This window comes from Homo sapiens, chromosome 3 (assembly GCF_000001405.40).
Source record: "Homo sapiens chromosome 3, GRCh38.p14 Primary Assembly".
Lineage (NCBI taxonomy): Eukaryota > Metazoa > Chordata > Mammalia > Primates > Hominidae > Homo > Homo sapiens.
Window position 1 is genome coordinate 100825747 of NC_000003.12, and position 21766 is coordinate 100847512.

Here is a 21766-nt window from a genome sequence, read left to right on the forward strand (position 1 = left end):
GCACTTGGCAAACAGCCAGGTAATTGTAGGGTCGTTACCTAAGGTTGTTGCAGGGATCTCAGTTCTAAAAGTAACAGGCTCGAGGTCTGTAACAGGAACTGAAGTAATAAGATAAACAAAAGAGATGGTAAAAAATGTGTGGGAGCTATAGTATTCACATCAAAACGTATCTTGCTTGTGTAACACTGCCTCTAGGATAATTAAACATTTCTGGGAAGGGCATTAGGACTGAATTATATTTCCACCCCTCACCCCCAACATATCAAATTCATATGTCAAAGCCCTAATCCTCATAGTGAGACCTTTAAAGAGATAATTAAGGTTAAATGAGGTCATAAAGGTAGAACTCTACTTCAACAGGACTGATGGACTCATATGAAAGAGAGACATGAGCTGCACACACAGAGGAAAGGCCATGTGAGGATACAGTGAGAAGGTGGCCATCTGCAAGACAAGGAGAGAGGCCTCAAGAGAAACCACACTTGCAGACACATTGATCTTGGACTTCCAGCCTCCAGAGTTGTGAGAAATAGACTTCTGTTATTTAAGCCACCTAATTTATACTGCTTTGTAATGGCAGCTCTTTTTCAAATGGAAATTAATTTTTTTTGTCTAGACTTGGCTGAACTATATCAAGTACACCATCTCATGAGATGGTCATCATCTTTGGTCTCTGTTTAGCACTACATGAGGCAAACAATTCCTGTAGTTATGGTGTTTATCTGAATATAATATGGAAGACTTTAGGATGTTTTAAGGCATTTACTTAAATATGTTTCTAATAATTCTCAAGAAGCACGTGAAAAACTAATTTGCACTTTAGTGATGCTGAATAAAGAAAACATGTACTATATGTTTATCAAATTATGGTTGCAGAAAAAGTGATGAAATATCCAAATGGTCATCACACAAATAACTAAAAATGACTGATGATCTTGCTGGGAACTCCACTTTGGAAAGAACTTTTCACTTCTGTCCAAACAAAAGCACTCAAGAGGCTGGGTAAGGGGTGGCCACTCAGTCTGTGGCATCCAGTAAATTATTGTCTACACTTAGCAGAGGGAAAACATGATCTAGTGTGGAAGAAAGACTTTTGATGCTCATGAGAACAATGTCAGACTCAATGAATGAGACATTCAAGCCCTCCGTCCACTTTCCACGGTGTCATCCAAATGCAGAATTATCAACAAAAATGTTTTGGCTGACCCTAGAAGCAGGATCTCTGCCCTTTCTGGTCGCCTCTATTTATATCCAATTTTTTTATCTTTGTTCATTCTTACCTTCCTATTTGTGCAAATTGTGATGTGACTTCAAGACCCAAATTCTTTCCTGGCTCTGTTGAAACCCAAATTCATTTTTTACTTTAAGACCCTACAATAAGTCTAACACTTAACATTTATATTCCCAAGAAAAATCTTTAATTTGCAAAAACACCCTGGCTTATTCTCATTCTCTAGGCTTTTCGCGTGGGAAGTTTTTGTGTTCAACTAGCCTGCACACTGCGAAGTAAAACATGTCTTCTACTACAAAAAGGGAAGATCCTGCAGGTCTCTTCTAAACTGACTCCTTGTCAACCATGAGGGGGTAACAACCCTCTGGACGCCCTCACTAAGGGGTATGTGAGTCTATTATTTCTATCAGTGACAGGCTCCTAAGCTCCATAAACCAAAGACCCTACACTTATCTGGTATAGTCTCAAGAGTAGCCAGACAAGGAGTGGTATTAAGTTTGTGCTGTGCATGATATGTTCAATGGAAGGTTTTTGGAGGTAGAAAAAGATAACCTTTAGTTATTTTAAATCTTATGCTTCTGCACATCATAGACTTAAAAAAAATCTTTAGCTTTTCCAAAGCTTGGTAGATTTTCCTGAACTTCAGAAAATATATCTTTCTAATGCAAAAATTTTGCTCCTACTATACTTTATCTTCTTCTGTTATTTAAGATACTTCAATAACAAATTTGCAAAGATGCAAATTTGACAGATTAAATAAATTTATTAATTCAGATACTTAGGATTAATATGTTTATCACATTCTGTAGAGTGCCCCGCCTGGATTAAAAAGGTTATAAATCATCCAGATTATGATGGAGACTAGGGGGAATGCAATTTATACTAAGGATACAGTTTATTATTTAAATCTACTAGCCTTGATCACATTATCTGTTGATTAATTCACTAAAAATATTACTCATACATTAACAAAATAACAAAAATAACAGGCAGATTAAAAAGGTAGATGTTTGGGAATGGCTGCAAGTGGGATAAAAAAACAAACAAAAATATAAACCCCCAAAAAAGGAAAAAAATAAAAAGGGAGGTGTATAAGGGATATATTAAGAAACTTCTGTGTTACAGCCTGGTTAGCGTAGATCAGGTCAGAACCTCGCGAGAATATGTCAAATCTCCCTTAATAGAGAACTCTGGTTAAGCCAAAAACAAAATGATATGATAAACATTTTAAGTTACAGACCAGGAAAGATCCCAAACTAGATTCAGATGTAGCTCTCTTATGAGCAAGAGGCAACTTGTTTTATGCATGTTCAACCGTTACAAAACCAAAAATGTAATTGAATGGCAATATACAGTGGAATAAGCTTGACAGTGAGCAGAAAAAGCACTTGCTGAAGATCAAAAAGTGGCATTACCGAATGTTGTCCCTGGAGCCTCTTTTATAGGAGAAACTGGTTCAAAGATTGTAGCAGGAACTGGCCAAAAATAATAAAAATAAAACACCAACAAAACATTAAAAATTTATAAAAACTCAGAACATTCAAAAAGAATTTTACGAGGTCATGACATATCTGTCCAGAGCACGAAGCAAACACAATTAGCCTCCTGAGCTGGGAGAAAATGACACCTCTGTCCTTGGGTACCAATTCATCTCTTAGGAAGAATGGCCATTTACTTTGTAGTCAGATAATTCAGATAACGGTCCATGTGAAGTGTCCCAGGAGTTTTTCTCATTCTTTGGTGATCTGAACCTAACTAATAGAGCATAGTAGATGATACACATTTTGCTGAAAACTCATCTTTGGAACAAGACCATGAGCTTTGTCCAACGTGAGTACCAAAGAGGACAAGAAGAGGGCCAGCCCCTCAGTCTGTGGTATACAGCTGGGCAACACCCAGAGAAAGCCTGACTGCACAGGGATGCAGATGATTCCTACCTAAAATCCAAACTCCTCAGGCCAGCATTCAAGACCCCTTCTCACTTAGCTGCAGACACCTCAACGAAATGTTCTGATCAACACCTAGAAGCCTGACAGCCTCCAGTGGTCAGAGAAACTGCCTCCTCAGGCTGGTTTCCATACATTCCCTGCCTTTCTGAATTTCTCTATTACTCTTCCCCTGATTTTCCCCTGAGAATGATTTTTCTGTTTTTAAGTGGTTGTTAAAAAAAAAAAAAGAAGAAGAAGAAGAAGAAAATACTACAGGGACTATATGGCCCAGAAAACCTAGAAAATTTACTATCTGGCTCTGTCTAGAAAATGTTTGCCAACTCCTGCCTTAGATCCTTATTTGTGACTTACGTGACTCCTATAGTTAACAAGAAATAATCTCCCACTTGCATGAACATATGTTCCTTCTCTGGCTGTTTCACTTTATCATATATTCAACATTGAAAGGATGAAGAGAATTGAATGAGAAGTAAATTAAATAGATGCTGAGAGAGAAGCATAAGGAATTTGGCTACCACGTCATCTCCCCAGCCCTGTTCCTCATTGCCTAGTCTGATGTGGAATCAGCTGCTGACCATGCCCAGCTACTTCATTCTCTTTGGGTCCCACTGGGGTGGGCTGTTAGGATTCCTCAAGCATGACCTACAAATTTACCCAGTTCAGTCTGAAGCTCTTCGGGACTCAGTGTGGTTTTAGGTTTGGGATGTGGACGATGAGTTCGTTGAGGCACTTTGGGAGCTAAAGGAAGAAAACTTCAGGTTAATACAGCGTGTTTGGTTCCGGAAGCTGTGGATAAGATTATACTTGTTATAATTTCTTGACTTCCAAGAAATGTTTCTTTTGGGTTTGAAATATTTGCCCCTATTTCAATACAGTGTCTCTTTTTATCATGTAGCTTTTTCTGAAGAATAAAAATCACATAGAAATATGAGTTTATTGATGATATTTCAAGGAGCTTCTCACAGGGATTCCTGAATGAAGAACAAGTTCTAAAATCTTGCTGAGTTATGGCGGTGATGGGGGTAAGTATAGGGTGATTTTATATTTGTGATGGTACTTACAATTTAAATTTACCAACCTTGGGCATATTTTACTCTTTACTTGGGAAAATTTTACTCTTTACTGAAACAAGAACACACCCTTACCCCAAATGGCTATATACATATACATACATACATACATACATATATATATATATATATATATATATATATATATATATATATATATATATATATAAAATGCAGATAGTAAAAATGTAGAAATTAAGATCTGCAAGAGAACTATGTCACACCGTAATAGCTGTGCCGATTTACTCAGTCTAGATCAGGGACAAACACCTTCACCTCCACCCTCCAGTGATTATATTTGAAACTTAGTAACAAAGAATGTGGTTAAAATGTTATGTGGGGGCAAGATGTGGGTAATTCAAAGTCATTACATTGCAATATATAAACCGACCCTAAGTTCACGCTTGGCTCTTTTACCAACAAGAAATTGTTTTAATACTCTTATACATATTAAGAAGTAATGAATAATAGAGGATAACACAGAAGCCTTGTGAAGCGGGAGAAGCTGTGGTTATGATGGTGATGAATGGGTTTGAAATGAGCAGGAGAGGCAGATGTTGATGGACATAATGTGCCATTACCTGCTGTTGTCCCTGAAGCCTCAGTTCTAAGAACTGGTTCGAGGATTGTGGCAGGAACTGATCAAAAGTAATAAAAGAAACCAAAGAGATTTTGTGAATGCATGAAATGTTGGAACATTCATCTTACCACCAAAAATCGGATTTCTAAGGCTGCAAAATTAATTCTTAATATCATAACTCAAAAGAAAGTGGCTGTATTTTTTTCCTTTGAATATTTCTCCAAACTTTAATCAGGTACTCGTTTGACTCAGAAGACAGTCAGCAATAGCCTTTGGACTTCGCTGAGCATCTCACTGAGGTCAATAGTAAGATCTTCTTGTTGGTTAACCATGATTCGAATGAACACTAGAAAATCTGGCTAGTCATTTTCTTAGAAAAAGATATGGTAAAGACTAGAACTTCTGTGGAAGCCAAAAAACCAAAGAGCACTCATTATAAGCAGTAATCAATAATGATAGATAGAATAAACATTTACATTTGAAAGCAAACACAGTGTAGCAGAGAGCCCCTATGGTGATCCCCAGTGGTTTCTGCCTCTGGTGTTAACACCTTTGAGTCATCTCTTCCCCTTGAGTGTGTGCTGGATCTCTGACATCTTTTTAACCAATAAAATGAGGCAAAGGTGATGGGTGTCACTCTGTTGAATAGGTGCATGTGCTGGGGGTGTGTCTGCCATGCTAGCACAAGGGAGAGAGAGACAGGGAGGGAAAGAGAGAGGATGAGGAGGAGAGGATGGATTATATAAAGGTGTTAACTCCAGGAGCAGGGAATCACTGGGAGGTTGCCCTAGAGTTTGTGCACCACACATATTAACAGCCAAAAGGAAGCTGAGACTACACTCATTAAGAGACTAAGTCTTTAGTAAATACAGCTTTACTTAACATAAGTAGCTGAAGAACCAACTCTCAGTTTTTGGTATCATTGGGCTGGGTATCTTCAGTTCTAAGAACAGAAAAAGCATGATCCTGTGCAGAAGTAGGGATCATTGAAGCCCCCTAGATCAAATTTAAGCTCTTGAGTAGACATCCCAGCCCCCTTTAATTCATCACTGAACAGGAGGGTATCAACGAGTTATCCTCTGTCTGGTGAGCCAACTTCAACACATTCCCTGCTTATCAGCCTCTGTTCCCTCATCCCTCTACTCATCCAGTTTCTATGCTGGTTTCTAATTATCCTGGACATTTTCCTCCTCTAAATATTTGCCATGCTTCTAGGAGGTGGCATTTATGCAATGCAATAAATTATATTTGCATAAACATGCTGCCTCATATTCGTTTCTAACTGGTTATGCAGGAACAGCTTTTGTTTACAACTACAGTGTAAACTGATTGGGAAAGAAAACATTCTTCCCACTTCTGATGTATGGACTAATATGGCTTTGGGGAATTAGAAGGGACTTAATAAAAGTAGTTGATTTAAATGATTGTGCTGGCTCAATACTGAGCAGCTTTGTCTTTAAGACAGGAATGAAATAAAAGAGCAAGAAGAGTAAATAATCATCAGCAGAGAAGATCCCTATAAAGGAAGCAAGAGATGCTAAGCTATTCATGTTCTCCTCACTAACCAGTAGCTTTTACTCTTAAGAGATATATAGGGCACAACACAATAGATTATATGTACATAGAACTTACAGTCCCAACCGTGGTAGACTGCTTGGATTCTACAAAACAGAAACTACATATTTACCCAGTTTAGTTTGAGGTACTTCTGGATGGGGCGTGGTTTTAGGTTTGGGATGTGGACGACGGGTTCTTTTTGTTGTTGTTGTTGGAGCTGAAGGAAGAAAATTTAGGATTAATATGGTGCTGATGGCTCCATTCACTGTGAATAGGATGACATAGCTCTAAGTTTTAAAATACTTGTTAGAGTTTGAGTTGACAGAACTTTGTCATTTTCGTTTGAAATTTTCTCCTTCAGTATCTTAATAGGTTTTCTTTGATAACTGAAAGTTCTCCAGAGACAAATATTGTACATACAATTACATTTAAGAAACAAACATTAGAAACTATCATTATTTTCTTGAAAGTGTCCCTAACCCAAATCACTGCTTAACTCTGATGGTGTGAGAGAGGTTCTAACCAACCCTACACTATTCACTTATAATTTAAGATAACTAGGCTTGGGCAAATTTTCCACTTGGTAACTTACTAGACTAAGTATATAAAATTCACAGAAACATCAATAAAGCAAAAAAAATTACATACAATTTGAAAAACAGAAAGGTGCATAAAGAAACTTCATGATATCATTTGATACTACGTTGGTGCTCTAAATAAGGAATATATGGGGAATTGTAGTTGGATCTTGGCTCTAAGAGTATTGTTCAGAGACTCAGACATGACACAGTTTCAAGCTGGGCTATGGAGCAGATAGCTGTCTTGAATTAAGTCATTGCATATTTCTTTAAAAAGCAAGCTTTCCATATTTTGAGATGAATACTGTAATGAGATGACAACAAAAGATGGTACAATAGCCTATATAGCACCATAGCAAAATCTGACAATGAGTAAGAAAAAGGACTTGCTGAAGGACATAGAGAGTCATTACCTGAAGATGTCCCAGGAGTAATAGGTCCAAAGTCTGTAGCAAGAAATGATCAAAAGCAATTTTAAAAAGAAATAAATGTTAAACACACGAGAAAAGCCATCATTCTCTTGAAAAGTGAACTTTACCATTATAGCGTTGGTTCTATAGCCACAAAGCAAACATTTTGAAGTTCTCAAGTGAGGGTACATATTTATTTGCTTTTATGAAACAGATATAACCTTAGCATCTGTAACATGGTTAACTACCAGTTTTTCTTATTTTTATATTATCTGATGATATAGTAGAAAACACTGCTTAGAAAAATCTTAGGACATCTAATAATGTTATGTTTAAAAATTAGGAAAAACTAATGTGAAAGTGTAGTTACACTATAAACTGGAAAACAAAGCCCTAGTTCATGATAGATGCAATTACTGATATGTTTAAGCAGATACACTGATGAATGACTAAAACAGATAATGCTGTTCTTTGTTGAGAGTGCACTTTGGAAAAAGACCAAGACCTCTGTTCAAATAAAGGCATACAAAGAACCAGATATAGAGGGTCATTCAATCCATCAAACTTGTTAGTGCATCTCTTTGTTATCAGGAGAGAAAAGGCCTGACCTCTAGGTTAGGAGAGCGTGCTGGAGCCAATTGGCTCAAATCCAATCATCGAAGTCAGGCATTCGAAGTGCTCTTTGTAGACCCATCAAAAGCAGCATTACTGTCCAACTAAAAGAACTTTGCCTTTCTTACAATCAGGTTGCACTTGCAATTCCTATCCTTCCAATGTCACCCTCACACGACACCTTCCTGCCTCTGTTTATATGATTCCTACCCATCCACCAATAAATCTACAGGCTCTACAAATTTCAAGGTCCACAAGATGAGCTCTTGCTCCGTTGCCTGGGCTACAGTGCAAGGGTGCAATTGTAGCTCACTGCAGTCTCGACTTCCTGGGCTCAAGCGATCCTCCCACCTCATTCACCCAAGTAGTTAGGACTACAGGTGCACATCACCATATCTGGCTAGTTTTTCTTAAATTTTTTGTAGAAATGGAGTTCTCCCTAAAGGTTCACATTACACTTATCAGCCCACAGATGTTTTGCTTCTCTAAGAATTAACGATGTGCCTAACAGTTGGTAAAATTTAATAAATATTTGCTTTTCCTCACATTCCTGTATATCTATTATGAAGAGTCTCACACAGGTAAGTCATTTGTTTTTTTCTAAAATATTCCTCACAGATACAAACGTTCAAAATGTGTGACAGGTTGAACTAAATATGCTAACTAGACACCTAATCAGGTCAGTTTTTGCTGAGCTGAGGAATCAAAGAGAAAAATGTAATTGAATGTCAGAGAAGCAAGTAAAATTCCCAGGCACCAAGGAGGTCCTCACGCAATCAGAATGAGGAAGTCACAGGTATCGCCAGAGCACTGTGTTGGTAGCAGCTGCTTTCCATGACTTGGGCCTTCACCCCAAGGGTCAAGTGGGTTATAAAGTGGCATGTTAAACTGCCACCCCCATGCCACATCCAATGGGATGCCACAGGGACAAGGAACCACATATTATTTACCTAGTTTGGTCTGCAGTGTCTCTGGGCGTGGCGTGGTTTTATGTTTGGGACGTGGACGACGTGTTCTTGTTCGTTGCGATGTTTTTGGAGCTAAAGAAAGGAAACTGGTTATTGTAGTCATATGACTCCAGAAACCAAAGAAAGGATTACACATGGTTCTAGGTTTTCTAAAGTTTTCCTAAGTCTTGAGAAATTTGTCTCTTTGGTTTAGAATTTTCTTCTGATCATCTATATGCAAAAATATGTATTTTTGGTCTACTGACAGGTCTTTTGAGACAGATGGAATATATGTAATTTAAAAAAATAAACTGCAACTTTATTATTAGTTGCTGGTATAGGATTTTCAAAGAGGGCCCAGACCCAAGGGAAGTCAGACATAGGCACGTAGACATCACATCAGAGAGGGACCCAGGCCTGCCTGCTTTTGGGAGAGCGTACTAAGAAATTACTTGGCTCAGACACACATTCCATTACAAGTTATTAGTATAAACACATTTTGTTTTCTAAAATAGTTGGTAGACAATAAAAATTCTCTGTATATCTTAAAACAACAGAAAGTAAGATGCCCACAGAATTATAATTGATATTTATCAGGCAGACATTCCTAATTGTATTTGAAATTCAGTTTTAACATAGAACACTACTGGAGCAGAATCACAGGCTCTGTCAAGCATTAATAAAGCTGGATAATATGGGAAAAATGGGACACAGATGCTGTTCACTAGTGGCGTATGGGCTTATAACCAAGTAACTTGTTTTAAGCACTTTCAATACATTCAAAATGAAGAATATAGTTCAATGACAAGAGGATGATGAGAAAATCTTATGAAAGAAAAAACCCTTAGCCCAAATAGTGATGGAATAGACTAGACAATGAGCAGAAAAAACTCATACTTAAAGACATAAGAGGTCATTACCTAATGTTGTCACTGTAGCCTCAGTTCTCACAGTTACAGGCTCAATGTCTGTGGTGGGAACTAACCAAAAGCAATACAATAAACAATGGAGATTAAGAAATACAGAAAAACAAAGTTATTTTGAAAATGAATCTTCTTAACCCTTTAATGTTTTAAATACATTTCTGAACTCTGGGAAAATAGTATTTGTTTTCCCCTAAGTAGCCAAACTATCATATCCATTTATTTCACAAAATACCCATACCCTTTGCATCCCTATAAGGGCAATGAAAAATATTTTTCTGTATTTCATTATCTGATTCCAACAACATAAAAAACCTGGATCCAAGAAAATCTTAGTTGTCCAATATATAATTTTAAAGTACTCTAAAAATTTGTTATAAAAGCTTCTGTTGGTATTTAAAAAGTTTTCACCACCATTATTAATTTGTTTTGAGAGTGGTAGTTGTGAGGAGAATTAGAAAGATGTTTTCAGTCTATTTACTGGAGATTTGTGAGAGTTGTGCAAAAGTCTTGTACGTTTTATTTGTAATAAATGTGATATTGCTTCTTACTCTGCCTCCTTATTCATTTATTTCAAATTGCTAATTAGGAGATAATTATTCAAGTAGAAAACAGAGATAATTAAGAAGAAGGTCTAAAAGGTAATAATACAACTTTTTGTCTAGATATAAAGGATTTCTATAACATTCTGAAATTGATTATACATAGATATAAAATTAATCAAGAATTGTAACTCTCTGGTATTAGCATCTCCATTTATCTTTCACTAAACCCAGAAGGCTAAATGTAACATTCAAACATCTCATCCTCAAAAACTCTTTAGGCATTTATAGAGAGGCTGACTTTCTCTTATTGCTCAAGACATCATAGCACAAAGTTGGTTTAAGCCACCACTGAGAGCATCTTCAGAACTAAAGGCATATATAATAGAAGAGATGGAGGAAGTCAGGACAACAGGATGACAACAATATTTATAATTAATTGCCTTCAAACAAAACAGAGAATCCTTATTTTGTTGGGAATTTTGCATCGCAAGATGAATTTAGCAACAGAAAGATCAATTTGCATATGAATAATGTGGAACAGGAAGAAAGGACTTTTGTGAGAAAGAAACAGTTATGTACCATCATGAGCTCCTTATAAACACATTGAGGACAAACTCCAACCAGCTTTTTCATTGCTCCCCTCCCACATCCATAAATTGTACCCACAAAGAAGCAGAGGTTTCAAAAAATTTTCTGGTTTGAAAGATGGATATAGACAGAGTGACTGTGACTCAAGCAATCTGAATGTCTCTGAATGTGATCGAAGAAAGAATAACAATTATGTGTTACAAGCTGAGCAGCAGATGTAAGGATGCCTAATGATGTTAAAAAGGCCCCTGTTGAAAATAGTGAAAATTTTTAAAAATGAAAACAAAAATGGTGAATGACAATTGTGCATATTATAGCTAATGAAAAAAGAGATGAGAGGCGCAAGCTCAGAGAAACATTGGCCAAGAAGGAAGAAAGCATCATTACCTATGGTCATTGAGGGAGCTTCAGTTTCAAATGGAACAGGCTCAGAGACTGCATCATAAAAAATAAACAGATATAAGTAATAAAAGCAAGGAAGTCTAAACTTTTGGGTGCTCATTGGTGTTTAATTCAGAGGACACAGAGTCTAGTTTATTCTAAATTAATATAAATTGCCTTCTTGATAGGCTTATTTATTATGTGAGATGCTTCTTAGCAAATTAAAATTTTATACTAATTGGAATCTTGGGAGAAAATTTCAACTGCAAAACAGTTGGATTCTGAGAACTGTTATATAAATATCTTCTTATGTGGTAGAAAATTACTCAGTTAACAGTTACTGTTTAAAATGTTGGCCGGGCACGTTGGCTCATGCCTATAATCCCAGCACTTTGGGAGGCCAAGGCAGGTGGATCACCTGAGGTCAGGAGTTCAAAAGACCAGCCTGGCCAACATGGTGAAACCCCCGTCTCTACTAAAAATACAAAAATTAGCCTGGTGTGGTGGTGGGTGCCTGTAGTCCCAGCTACTAAGGAGGCGTAGGCAGGAGAATCACTTGAACCTGGGAGGCAGAAGTTTCAGTGAGCCGGTTGCACCACTGTACTCCAACCTGCGTGACAGAGCAAGACTCCATCTCTAAATAAATAAATAAATAGAATAAAATAAAATGTCAATAGAGTATTTTAGAGGAAGCTAATCCCTGACTAGCAAGTCTTCTTTTCAGTTGTGCCTATAAATGAAGAACAGTGTCAGCCTTCTGTGTGTACTAACAGTGGTTACTAAAATGACTTTCAAAAATGTTTCAGATACAGAAAACTCAGGCTTCTGTTCATTACAAATTCAGAAAATAGGCCTAAAAAAGCTTTAAGAAAATGAAATGCCAGTCAATCAGGTATAAAATTTACTAATTTCCTACATATTGACTTTTTCATTTAGCACTTAAAACATCAGTGTGGCTACTTGGAGAAGATAATGAACAAAATTATGGTATTTGGATTTCTATGATTTATATGATATGACAGATTGGAAACATTTTCAGCAATGTTTCCAAAGAAAATCCTGTTAAGCTAAAGCACTGGAAATTATGTTTACCGGATTTAGTTGGTGGCATGTCTGGTTCTGCTGTGGTTTGGGGTTTAGGAAGTAATTGTTTTGGTGGTTTTGAACCTGAAGAAAATTAGAGTGCCATAATTAGTGTTACGGCTGAGCTGTGAATGTGGAGATTAATGTTACTTACACATTGTTTTCCTATTTATAGATCAAGGCATTGAAAGTAATGATTACCAGGCTGAATTTGAGGTGCATCTGGTCTGTGTGTGGTTTTAGGTCTCTCAGATGGTTTTGAGGCTAAAGAAAAAGGTATTAAAATTACCACAATGGGTCATGGCTGTGACTGTCAAAATTAAGGACAATTATGCAGAACAAAGACACTATATAAATTCAACGAATCTATAAACATTTCTGGGGTGTGGGAAGGGTGAAAAGAGTGTCTATTTTAACTACACACTAGCATAATTAGTTTTTCCAGAAAGGAAAATTAATTACTAAATGCTCAAAATGTGTTTTTGAGCAAAAGTAATGAGGACAGTCATAAGACATTTTTCCTATATAAATAATTTCAAAATAGACAAAGTATATTAGTTCTATGTCTTTGATCAAAAGGTTTTCTTCAGTATACAAACAGTAAGGTAGAAATCTGATTGCTTAGGAGGCGATCTGGAAGTAATCCATAAACATTTGAAATTACACATGAGAAATAATGTTACATGGCTGCCGATGTCTGGGATTTCCCAAAGTAAAGCCATGATAGATTTTGAGCGCTAAGAAACTATAATGAAATGATTATAATCAAACAGTATTAGTACTAAAAACAATAAAACCAGTTTGGGACTTTTAATGCTGTCAAGTTCCAAAGACCATCACTAGTTTTACATTGGATTCTAGATCAAGAACGATCTTGGTTCCTCTCGCTATCCATACCTATTCAAAAACATTTTTCAAAGAAACAGAAGAGCCGAAGAAGCCATTATTTCATGCAACTTTTTAAAAAGAAGAAAGTCCTAGAAGTTGAATCAGTAAAGCAATGAAATGCTAACCATGGCACTGGAGTAAAATTTTGCCATTTGTTCAGTTCAGGATGAGCACAGAGGTCCCTGTCTGAGAAGGAGTTGATGGCTTTCTCAACCCCACGACACATATAGGGCAGACAGAAGGTCAGCAGAGAACCAGGAAGTTGTGTCCAAGACCACAGACCTTCCCTAAATGAGCACACTGGATTGTTTTAGAACTCTCCTATCTTTAGGATCTTCAGACCCAGACAGGAAAGGTGAGGAAAAGCGTGGGATGAAACTGTGATGAGGTGGTGGAACTGCAGTCATGCCTGTAATGGAGAGTGGGGAAAGCAAAAGCTACAACCCGTGAAAGCAGCCGTGGTGGAGGGAGTAGAATTACCAGTTGTGGGCACCAAGGGCTCCGGTTGTATCGTGGCAGGTTCCAGAGCTACAGAAGCAAATACCAAAAACATGAAATATTTCAAGAAGTGGCATCGTGAGGAGGGAGACATTATGCCTCAAGCTGGGACACTACCTAAATGATGCATTTTTTCTGAATGTGATTTTCCCTTTTACAGTTCCCATTTTCCTTTCTCCTTGTTGCTTTCCCACACCTCATCTGCCATGAATGTACATCATAAGATTTCAAGGTGCTTTACTTTAATAATTCACTTAATGGGCCAGCTTTCTGCTGTGTGTACCTAATAACTATGACTGAGAGTATAAACATATTATATAAAATATTACATATATAAAATGAATATAGAAACTGAGTACAGATGCTCAGTTATAAAAGTCAATTCCACTGGTTCCTAAAGCCCAGTTGCTCAAGTAGCTGATATCAAACCAGAAGCTGCCATATTCCACTTTCTATGTTAATTGGAACCTGAATATCACATTTACCGGGTTTGGACTTGGGCACTTCTGGACTAGGTGTGGTTTTAGGGCGGGGACGGGGGCGGGGGCGACGACCTGGTCTTTTGGTCTTTCGTGGTGCTGAAGAAAGAAAATTAGCAAGTTAATACAAGAAGGGTGGATTTACAAACTGATGATAAATATTACATCCATCTTAGAAGGACATTTAAACCCTTTGATTTACTGTGGACATGTTTCCATCTGTTTTGCAAACTTCTATCATTATTTATGTAGTTAAATGAGGTCTTGAATAATTTTTTTGTCACAGATTAATAAACTGTCCAAGAGATCTGTCTGTTCTTCCATTTTGAGATGGAAAATCTCAAAACTTTGTACAGCTTAGAGAAGATAGTCACTCAAAAATATTGAAGGCATATGTTCAACAGGAACATGAGAAAGGTTGCTTTTATAAAGCCATTTGGGATAAAAATTAAAATTTGGCCTAAGATTTAAACAGATAAATTTTTCACTTAGCATTTAAAATATCCACAAATCAACAATATATGCAGAAGGCTTTAAATTCACTAATTATGTCAGGACAGGCAACTTTTAAAAAATGAGATACAGTTTATAAACTATACCTATAGGAATTAACTTTTTTTTCTGAAGAACAGAGCACTCACACACACACACAAAGGGACATTAATGTATTAATTCATTAATGTGAGTCTGTCAACACAGATACCAGCAGACAGGAAAAGAAGAAACAAAGGTCACCCACTCAATACTCTATTACCTAATGTTGTTGAAGGTTTGGTTCCTGGTGTTTCAGGTCCTAAGACAATGTGAAAAAATCACCAAGAAAGAATCAAGATCAAAGGAAAAATGACATGTATTTAAAACATGGAATATGCTTAATTTTTAATTACTAGATTGAGCAAATATAAATGGTGAAGCTTTTATCCACATGCAAAGTTTCTTTTCTACTTCAATAGATTCCTGTGTTTTCGACAAAGCGAACAAAAAAATGTAGCCAGTCAGTTAAGTTTGGAAAGAGAAATGGAACAAAAAGGCATGATTCTCACTTGGAACATGTGACTGTAATAAAGTAACCAGCAGTTCATGTTATGAAGGAAAATATGGGTAATTGGCTAAGATGGCATTAGAACACTTTTTTTTTTTTTTTTTTTTTTTTTTTTTTTTTGCTCTTTTGAAGAAAAAGAAGCTATAAAGATTGGGGTTGGTTTTTCTATTTCTCTCTTTGAGTGGATTTCCTAGTCCGTGGCACTTTTCAAGAAAATCTGCAAAAGTTAGAGTTTTGAAAGTAAGAAAAACACCTCCAAAAGAGAAAACATAAATATATCCTATGAAAGTCAGGGTCCTCCCTGGCAATAAACAGGTTAGAACAAGCTCAGGGCATATTCCTCAAATGTAATTGAAGGAGAATAAAGAATCTATCAAATTAAAATTAGTATTGCTTTCATGGGTGTCTCAGAACCACTGCTAAGTCAAGCACAGGCTGAGAGTATATCTTCGGGCAAAAATGGCTGGAAAAAGATCTGAAGGAAAATTAAGAAATATTAGGCTGGGCACAGTGGTTCACACCTGTAATCCCAGCACTTTGAGAGGCCGAGGTGGGTGGATCACCTGAGATCAGGAGTTTGAGACCAGCCTGGCCAGCGTGGTGAAACCCTGTCTCTACTAAAAATATAAAATATTAGCCAGGGATGGTGGCTCAGGCCTGTAATCCCAGCCACTTGGGAGGCTGAGGCAGGAGAATTGCTTGAACCTGGGAGGCAGAAGTTGCAGTGAGCTGAGATCACGCCACTGCACTCCAGCCTGGGCAAAAAAACGAGAGTGAAACTTCATCTGGAGAAGAAAAAAAAAAAAAAACAAAACCCAAAGCTGAACAAAGTTGAACATGGAGAGTGTTAAAGATACTTTGTTTTCACTCATTAAAAAAAGCTTTATTACCTATTGTTGACTGTGATGGCAGTAGAGTCTGAGGTTCTGGGGCTGTAATAAAAGCAAGTAATATCAAAAGCAATGCTGAAGAGCACCATCTGAGATAGAAGTGACATGTTCTTGACTATAAACGGAGTTCTCTCCTGGGTGAATGATTAGGTTCTACTGGCTTCTGCCAGTGAAGTTCAACCTTCCACATCCTCTCTACAAACCACAAGAATTGAGAATTCTCATTTTTGTTGTTGATCTTTAGCTGTTACCGTCACTTCCCAATATTCTGGTTTGCCTCTGGTGCTGAGGAAATACTAACTTAGAGGGAGTTCTGGGTAGCCTCTCTGAGGTTGTTCAGAGTGTCCTGTCACCTGATATTTGTTTCTTGCAGGACAGCCAGGTTCATCCAAGGAAATGGAACAGGCAACAGACTCACCACCTGGTACTGTGTCTGTGCTGTTAGTTTGCAATCTCCAGCTTGGCTGGACCTGACGTTCTCTCACAAAAAAGATAAGAATTAAACTTATTGTTCAAAAGCGACCACAACTGTTCATATGATGCCTCCTGTATTCACTAGTATCTATCGCTGGTAAACAAATTGGTTCACATATGAAACTTAACCCATTTGGACTGGTAAACCAATGAGTCCAAAAGCAGTCTCAGATTTCATAAGATGCTAAATTAAATAACAGTATCTAAATATTCTGATAAACTTTCCAATGTTTATTCAAACTAGCAATAAGTAAATTAAACTTCATGTTGAATTTAGCTTGGTTACAATATTTGGGCTTAAAAAAAGATTACCCAATAGGTTTCTCATTATTCTATCAACAAAAAGTATTGTTTAAGGAGAAAATTAAAAAGGAATTGTTTATTTTTGAAATGGAAAGAAAAAGTTAAGATTCTTTGACTTTTCTTAAAGAAAGAAACTAATCAATGTGGCTTTCATAGACCATCTTAATAGAACTGAAGTCATTCTTCTACTTATACATTTCTAATATTAGACTTATCAGGAATGATCTCTGATATTACTTGACAAGGGAGTGTGGCAGGTTTTGAGAATACGTAGCGACTAAAAAAGAACTATAACAAGTTTCTATGTAGCAACTAACAACAACTACTTCAATGGAAAAATATAATAACGCAGGTACAGAATTTTTATTTCTTCTAAAAGCAATGCATAACAGCATAAGGTGCTATTTAAAGGCATTATCATCCATTAACATATCTGTGATCAAAAAATTTTTGTGTTGAGGCTAAAGAGTACAAATTAGGTGCAAAAGAAGCAGGTTAAAGTTGTTTTTAAAAGCCCCGAATTCTGATTTCTCAAGAACTTGTGCAGAAATAGATTGTAACAGATGAACGGCAAAAGCAGTAGTGATGTGTCAGACTGAAGTTCATATAACAAAGTAAAAATTCTGAGTGTGTGTGTGTGTGTGTGTGAGTGAGTCTGTATGACAGAAGAGAGAAGGGAGGAGGGAGAGTGTGTGTATGTGTGAGAGAAAGGAAGGGAGGGAAAGAAAGAGAGGGAGGGAGAGGATGTGTGTGTGTGTGTGTGTGTGTGAGAGAGAGAGAGAGAGAGAGAGAGGGAAGGGGAGAAGAAAGAGTGTCTGGGAGATGGAGAGAGAGAGGAGAGTATGCATGTGAGAGAGAGTGTGTGAGAAAGAGAAAGGGAATTGTATGTGTAAGGGAGTGCATGTATAGGTCTAAGTACCTCAGATGCTATAGGACAAGAAGAAAATAAACATCAATACATGAAATACAATAAATATCAAATAAGCATTCATACCTGAAGATAGCAAACAAAAAATTATTTTGAAACTTCAAGATTGTAATTCATGTTTTTGATTCTACAAAGTTGCCTTCCACAAGTGAAAAATAAAATTTGCTACTCATTGCATCTTTTAGACTTCACAAAAATTAAAGAACGTTGTTTTTGAAATTATAAGGAAAAATCTGCATTTTTGAGTTCCTGGCTGAGTTTGAGACCAAATAGGGATAGAACTCCATCAATTAAGCTTCAAAGTCAATTGCACATAAAAACAGTAAGGTCTATGTTTAGTAAAAATAAATATATCTTCTGACACGCCTTCTATTTGACAATCATAAGGTATTATAGGTAAAGGTATAAAATGTTCCATAACAAAGCTGAGTGGTCTGTAAATGACTAAGCCACTCATCTCAGCACAAAACAAAGACAAATTTGACTCACATGTGTGTAGGAATGAGAACAATTTACAATTCTATCCACGTTGGAAGACGGTCAAGTGAAACAAACACCTGTAATTGGGGGCACCCCCTTATTTTCAGTCCATTAGAAGCTTAAAGATTAAACCATGAAGGAAACAATTCCCACTGGACGAGGTAGACAAGTTAAGACATGGTAGGTGGCTGTGGTTTTTGAGAAATGCGCTGAATTGTACTTATAAAACAAGCCCAAATCAATGTGGATTTTTACTCGTTGACTTAACCACCAAGCAAAGCCAAAGGAAAAGGAGCCTGTAAAGGAAAGTGAAACAGAAAAATAGAAGAGTGTGCGGAGAGGGCTGGGAAAGGCCTCAAAAAGCTTTGGGTGGTGTATTTGCTCTTCCAAACCTTGGCTAGAAAGAGACATCTTTAGGAGAGCTATAAAGGTGGTCTGCCCTAAATAAAAATAAATAAAATTTAAGAAGCTAAAATCAAAGCAATGGTTTGCGGAGATCCAGTCATCATCCTGTGTTGCTATGGACCATTCAAGGTCCATTTGAGGGCACAGGCCTAGGTGTGGATTCTGAAGTCATTACATTGCTGTTAGAGGAAAAGGGGTGGATTTTCTTTGATGATTAGAAGGTTTAGAAATCAAAGGAATGTAAACACATTAGCCTCCAAGTAATTCTTCCCATGTTAAAAGGAAATGTCAAATTAAGAAGTCTTTTTGCTCAAACACCTTACAATGATAAAAATATAACCTTCCTCCCTCATTTGTATTAAAGAATTTCCTCTCAGAAATCTTGTCTTAGAAACCACTGAAATGAATAACGCAACCTATCATATATAAACTATAACCAATGTTTGGAGAAATTTGACTATTTCCAATTTTATGTTGTAATAACAGAAATAATTCATTTGAGAGAAACCTTATTTAAATTTGGTGACTCAAGCTTGGTAATAGTCCTCTGTTCAAAATACAGCATAGTTACTACTCTATCCCAAAGCTCTCTAAGCATGATTTTTAAATAAGTGTGTATTAAACCCTTCTCTCATACAGCTGTCAGAGTTATTTGATTTAAACCACTATTAAGGCTTTTGAGTTTTATTAGCTACGCTTCTTCCCCTGAAAACCCTGAGTGAGAGTTTTTCATTCCATTTCTCTGACTTGGAGACCTCATCCATGGTCACAGTGTCAACTATACTCCCTTTGCCTAATCCCTAATTTCCTTCCGTCTGCACCTACACCTGGAAATCTCACTGCTTCTTTACAGGGAGTAATGAGAATTTTTTCTTTAAGCAGTTACATTTTTCTTCCTTAGCCATTTCATTGCAAAAATAAATCATACCCACTTTAGCAGAAAATCTCTTGCTTTAATAATCCTACTGTGTAAACATGCCATTAATGGAAATGCAAGTTCAAAATCCATTAAACATTATTGTGAGAAATAATTTCTTCCCAGAGCTAAGGGTTTAAAATTTAGATAATGATGACACTGAGTGGTGACAAGGTTCCCTGTAGTCAATCTTATAAGTCAACATTTAAAACTGCCACATGGATTACAGATAGATAAAAAAAACTCCAAGATGTGGTCATTCAATATGTTACACAATCTTTATGTCTTTTTATGTCTTAAATTATTATATATATAGAATGATCCCTTCCTGCAAAAGCAGCCTTTTTTTTTTTTTTTAAAGGAAAACACCACTAAAAATTCCTAAGAGGTAAACAGAGGTCAGTGTTCAGAAATCAGCCCCAATTTAGAAGTCTTGGAGCATTGGGAAAATACAGGTCTTTCTGGTCTTCTAGCCTGAGAACTGAGAAACTCTAAAATAATGCAGAGTTCTTAGAAGATAGAAACACTTCTCCCCTTTCCAGCTGAAAGGCTATTGTTCATGAGATTAGAATTCCAGTCAACACTGGTATTGGAAACTATTTTGCAGTAGTAGACAAGGGAGTTCGCAATCATTCATATCATTACATTTCTGTGTTTTCTCTGTGATGATCATGAACATTGCTGAGAGCAATGCTGTGATATCACAGTGGCTATTTATGATTAGATCATTTCATTGCATGCTTACACTTTTCATGGAAAAATGTAACAAATGTCAAAATATAAATCAGAAATTCTTGCTCCAAATAATTGCAAAGAACTTGTTTTCAACCCCACTTTTGGAATATTCAAAAAAGTTTAGGGTAATTACCAGGTTTGGTGTGTGTCACTTCTGGGCTGAGAGGGATTTTAGGTTTCAGAGAAATAAATTGTGTTTTACCGGGAGCTGGAAAAATAAAGAAACAAAATAATAAACAAATCAATATTTAGGCATTTCAGTGTCTAAAAACACAGAAGGAAAACCTAGAAATAAACTATACATTAAATGGAATGAACTCATCGTCTTGGAAGATTTTGGAAATATTCCATTAAGAGAATATTTCATGATCCATTCACAGAGAAGTAGTTAATTTTATCTTGTTTAGAAAAAACATTTCAAGAGTATATTTAATCAACAAATATAGCATTACTACTAAATAGTCACAGTAACTACTCAAAGTAAAGATAGTTCTTATAATCTATGATTTTTAAAAATCAGTCTAATTATTTTGCACCCTTACTTCATATTTCTCAATCTCATCTAAGTCTGAGCACTAGGGGGAAAAAACACCATGTTTTACAATTAATATTCACTGACGTATGTGCAGGATGTACAGGTTTGTTATATAGGTAAACTTGTGCCATGGTGGTTTGCTGCACCTATCAACCCCTCACCTAGGTATTAAGACCAGCTATATTTTTATCAGCTTTATAAACTAAAAAGGAAAAATCTAAAATCATTCAACCAGTAGCTGATGTGCATATCTTTTGCAGATGCAACAATAAATTTAAACTTCCTGCATACAATTTTAGGGTGGCATTTTTCTTTTTCTCCTAATATTTCCAGAATCTGTCACTTTGGGCCTGTCTACCTAAACACATTTTAATAAGAAAAAAACTACTCTCAAAAAAATTCACCAATAGGTATAATGCTATGATCTGAAGCATAAAGTAATTCTACTAACATTAAAATTAAAAGTTGTTTTTCCAAATGAAGTTGGAAGTTGAACTTGAGAGTCTTACTAAAAAATAAAAAAAAGAGAACTATATACAAGATTCAACTTCAAATACAATGACTGGATAGATGACAAGGAAGCAGCAATGGTTCAAAAGCTGACACAGAATGACATCTGAAGGCTGAGTTCAGATCTACTAACTGTTGGGCCAGCTAGCCACAACCACAATAGCCATGGAGCTGGTGCACTCTCTGAGATGGGCCATGCTGTTCAAATGAACCGTTTTGAGTATCTTAA

At 36.5% G+C, this 21766-nt stretch overlaps 1 protein-coding gene across 57 annotated transcripts in view; it reads right to left on the reverse strand.

Annotated features, from left to right (window-relative positions):
• ABI3BP (ABI family member 3 binding protein) overlaps positions 1-21766 on the reverse strand; it is a 244266-nt gene that overhangs the window by 76591 nt on the left and 145909 nt on the right. For 20 of the 57 annotated variants that reach the window (XM_006713572.4, XM_005247299.5, XM_011512641.3 and 17 more), the window contains 16 exons: positions 20626-20700; positions 16252-16293; positions 15074-15112; positions 14326-14418; positions 13823-13870; positions 12656-12718; positions 12464-12538; positions 11378-11425; positions 9855-9914; positions 8938-9027; positions 7379-7411; positions 6518-6604; positions 4832-4888; positions 3835-3918; positions 2647-2706; positions 39-98 (listed from right to left, as the gene is read on the reverse strand). In XM_006713572.4, coding sequence (XP_006713635.1) covers positions 39-98; positions 2647-2706; positions 3835-3918; positions 4832-4888; positions 6518-6604; positions 7379-7411; positions 8938-9027; positions 9855-9914; positions 11378-11425; positions 12464-12538; positions 12656-12718; positions 13823-13870; positions 14326-14418; positions 15074-15112; positions 16252-16293; positions 20626-20700 — 1014 coding nt within the window. The remainder of the gene's footprint in view (positions 1-38; positions 99-2646; positions 2707-3834; positions 3919-4831; positions 4889-6517; positions 6605-7378; positions 7412-8937; positions 9028-9854; positions 9915-11377; positions 11426-12463; positions 12539-12655; positions 12719-13822; positions 13871-14325; positions 14419-15073; positions 15113-16251; positions 16294-20625; positions 20701-21766) is intronic. The other 37 variants (NM_001377332.1, XM_047447925.1, XM_047447924.1 and 34 more) reach the window with 22 other exon arrangements.